The 3948-nt window shown below is 50.6% G+C and overlaps 1 annotated feature.

The window, feature by feature from the left end:
* Window positions 1370-2112: an enhancer, noted in NCBI's record as "OCT4-NANOG-H3K4me1 hESC enhancer chr7:4347010-4347752 (GRCh37/hg19 assembly coordinates)". NCBI's record gives its function as "activates a minimal SCP1, AML or CMV promoter by ChIP-STARR-seq in naive H9 embryonic stem cells {active_cell/tissue: H9 hESC(naive)}" and the evidence as "EXISTENCE:reporter gene assay evidence [ECO:0000049][PMID:30033119]".

Raw genomic sequence — 3948 nt, forward strand, 5'->3', positions numbered from 1 at the left:
GCCCAAAGCTTACAAAGAAAGAAATATCGGGCTCATGCCTGTCATCCCAGCACTTTGGGAGGCTGAGGTGGGTGGATCACCTGAGGTCAGGAGTTCGTGACCAACCTGGCCAATATGGTAAAACCCTGTCTCTACTAAAAATACAAAAATTAGCTGGGTGTGGTGGCAGGTGCCTGTAATCCCAGCTACTCGAGAGGCTGAGGCAGGAGAATCTCTTGAACCGGCGAGGCGGAGGTTGCAGGGAGCTGAGATCACACCACTGCACTCCAGCCCGGAGCGAGACTCTGTCTGAACAGAGCGAGATTCCGTCTCAAAAAAAAAAAAGAAAAGAAAAAAAGAAATACCGGAGGTGAACCACATCACCTGGAAAACTTCTCCACGCATCACAATGTCCTTTGTAGGAGTAGATTAAAATTAAGCAAACCCTTCATACTCGAGCCTAGTGTATGTCCCCATCCGGAGAGGATCTGCAAGAAGACAACAGAGATCCCCAGAGGGTGAGCCCCATCTGTGTTCTGCACTGTGATCCCAAGGCGCACTGGCCCAAGCCGAAGGAGTTCTGTCCTGCACCAGGAGAGCCCTGGAGGCTCTAAGCTCTGGTCCCTTTCAGGGCTGTGTCATCGTGGAAGTTTTTCATTGCAAGGTAACATTTGCAGAGTGAAATGCTCAGGTTGTCAGCGCACAGTTGCGTGAGCTTTAATAAACAAATCTACCAGCGCAAACCCTGCATCTGTCAAGATAAGGAATTTTCACCACCCCAGGAAGTTCCTTACACTCCTGCCCAGCCAGATTCCACCGCACCATAGGGAACCACTGTTCTGATTTCTGCCGCTAGAGATTAGTCGTGCTGGTGGTTGAACTTCATAAAATGGAATCATCCAGTATGTGATTTTTGTGCTGTTTTTTCCCTTTTGATTGCTGAGCGGTGGTCCGTTGCAGAGATGTATTGCTTCTCCGTGCTCCGGTGACAGACACCTGCGTGGTCTCCCTTTGCAGCTAAAACCAATAATGCCACTACGATCATTCTTGTGTAAGCCTTTTATGAGCATATGTCTTCATTTCTCTAGGGTAGACATTTACAGGTGGAAGCATTATAGGATTTTTTTTATTTATTCCTTTTACAGATGAGGTCTCACTCTGTTGCCCAGGCTAGAGTGCAGTGGCGTGATCACCGCTTACTGCAGGCTCAACCTCCTGGGCTCAAGTGATCCTCCCAAATAGCTGAGACTACAGGCATGTACTACCACACCTAGCTAATTTTTTATTTTTTATTTTTGTAGAGATGAGGTCTCACTATGTTGCCCAGGCTGGTCTGGAACTCCTCGGCTCAAGGGATCCTCCCTCCTCAGCCTCCCAAAGTTCTGGGATTGCAGGCATGAGCTACTGCACCCTGCCTATAGTAGGATTTTCAAAAGGACCTTGGAAGCACCACCTGCCACTCAATCCCAGATGGCCTTCTCCCATTCTGTGTCAATGCCGTCGTAAAAAGAAATACAAATGTTCGCCCAGATGCCTGTCAAGAGCGTCCAACCCCCTCTCTCCGGCCAAGGAGTTTTATAATCTCCATTCATACACTGTGCTCGGAATTTAATTAACTCTATGGAGGAACGTGCCATCAGGACCAGCTTATAGCGGCTGTAACATTGAGGGGTTTATGGCCAGATATTACAAGCAAAGCCATAGGGAGATGGGCTCAGAGCCAGGCAAATCAGTGGCAAGAAGGATAAAGATGTGTTGAAAATAAAATTTAATTTTCCAGCTGCGGTTATGAACAAGTCATATTCCAGCTTCACTGCGGGGTCACAGCCTAACAAATGAGGCAGGCCTGGAGGATGGCGTCGGAAACCCAGGCAAGCAACGGACCGAGGACGGCTGGCCGCCCCACCTGTGGGCTGGAGCCCTCACAAGAGCACCCTCAATGAAGGGTTTTAAGTTCGTGTCCTTTTCTGCATAAATCCTCATGGCCGCAATCAAAGGAATCACCTGGAACCTATTTAACTAAATCGCTTTTTCACAACAGGTCAAGCACAGCAGGGTCCCTCCTGCATTTGCCTGGAGTGAGATAGTCGCAGCCGGTCAGGCCCCGCCTCTGGGCACAGCCTGTTCCCGTCGGAACCGCCCGCAGTTGGATACGTGGCCCCCACCAGCCCCAAGTTGACCAACTCCATCTAGGTTCCTGGACTTGTCCTTCCTCCCGTTGGCTCTGCGGCCTGGACGACGTTTTGTTATTATTATTTGTGCGTCTTCTCCAGCCCTGCCCTCGCCCCACGCCTTTCCCTCTCTCCACCTGCGGAAACGCCTCCATCCTGGAGGGCACCTCGGACACCGGCTCTTGCATGCACGCTTGCTGACGTGCCCGGCGTGCCGCTGCTCCTCGTGCCTGCACCAGCACCCACAGATCCAGCCCTCCATGCTCCTCGCCATGTTACTGTGCCAGGCCTCACACAGGAGAGCGGATCCCCTCTCCGTTCTGGAGATCCAGGTGTCTGCAGGGCTGCGCCCCTCTGAAGGTGCAGGGAAGGAATCTGGCCCGGGTCCCTCTCCAGCTTCTGGTGGTCCCCCCCCCCTTGTGGTAATTTCTCTCCCATCTTCCTTGAGCATGTTTCTGTCTCTTCTTCCCATGGCGTCTTTTCATAAGGACTCCAGTCCTATTGAGTTAGGGGCCCACCCTCCTCCATTTTAACCTTATTTTTACTAATTCCATCTTCAATGTCCCTATTTTCAAATAAGGTCACATTCTAAGGTCCTAGGGACTAAGACTTCAACTTCTGAATTTTGGAGGGTCGGACACAATTAAATCCATAAAACCTTCAACAGCACCTTATCCACTCTATGCCAGGCCATGCGGAGGAAGTGAACAAAGAACCAAATGAATTTCTTTTTTTTGAGACAGGGTCTTGCTCTGTCACCAAGGCTGGAGTGCAGTGGTGCAATCATAGCTCACTGCAGCCTCAAACTCCTGGGCTCAAGTGATGCTGCCACCTCAGCCTCCCCAGTAGCTGGGACCACAGTGTATACCACTGCCATGCCTAGCTAATGTTTTTTATTATTATTTTTTATAGAGACGGGAGTCTCGTTATGTTGTCCAGGCTGGTCTGGAACTCCTGGCCTCAAGACTTTCTTTTTTTTTTTTTTTTTTTAAGACGAAGTCTCGCTCTCGCCTAGGCTGGAGTGCAGTGGCGCGATCTCGACTCACTGCAAGCTCCGCCTTCCGGGTTGACGCCATTCTCCTGCCTCAGCCTCCCGAGTAGCTGGGACTACAGGCACCCGCTACCATGCCTGGCTAATTTTTTTGTATTTTTAGTAGAGACGGGGTTTCACCATGTTAGCCAGGATGGTCTCAATCTCCTGACCTCGTGATCCACCCACCTCGGCCTCCCAAAGTGCTGGGATTACAGGCATGAGCCACCGCGCCCAGCCAAGACTTTCTTAAATCACTTGGATTCATGTGGATGTCCCAAAACAAAGATGCCATTATGTTCTTATCTTTGTATTCACCTCCTCATCTGTAATTAGGCTCTGGAAAGGCAATAGGAAGTCTCCAAGCTCCTGTGTTCTTCTCCCCTCTGCTTCAGGCCTCTGCTCCGTGTTGCAGTGAGGTTTGCTCTCTTCTCTCTGAAGTCGCCTCTGCCAGGCTCCAGCAGAATTTCCCCACAGAGACTTGCAAAGAGACCCCGGTGAGACAGCTCTCTCTCTACTTTGAATCCAATTTATTTGATTCCGAAGTCCCCGTGGTCTTTGGGTTGTGTCTGCAAGAAGCCAGGCTACCTGGGAGATGCAGCGTTCAGGAGCAGTCCACAGGACCGCCCTCACTTTTGACGCCAATTGCGAGTTCAGAGGCCCTCGAGACCACCCTTAGGTTCGACGATTTGCTGGAAAGACTCGGAACTCGCTGGAAGCTGTGATAGTCCCAGCTATGGTTTATCACAGGGAAAAGACACCGATTAA

This window comes from Homo sapiens, chromosome 7, assembly GCF_000001405.40.
Source record: "Homo sapiens chromosome 7, GRCh38.p14 Primary Assembly".
Classification (NCBI taxonomy): domain Eukaryota; kingdom Metazoa; phylum Chordata; class Mammalia; order Primates; family Hominidae; genus Homo; species Homo sapiens.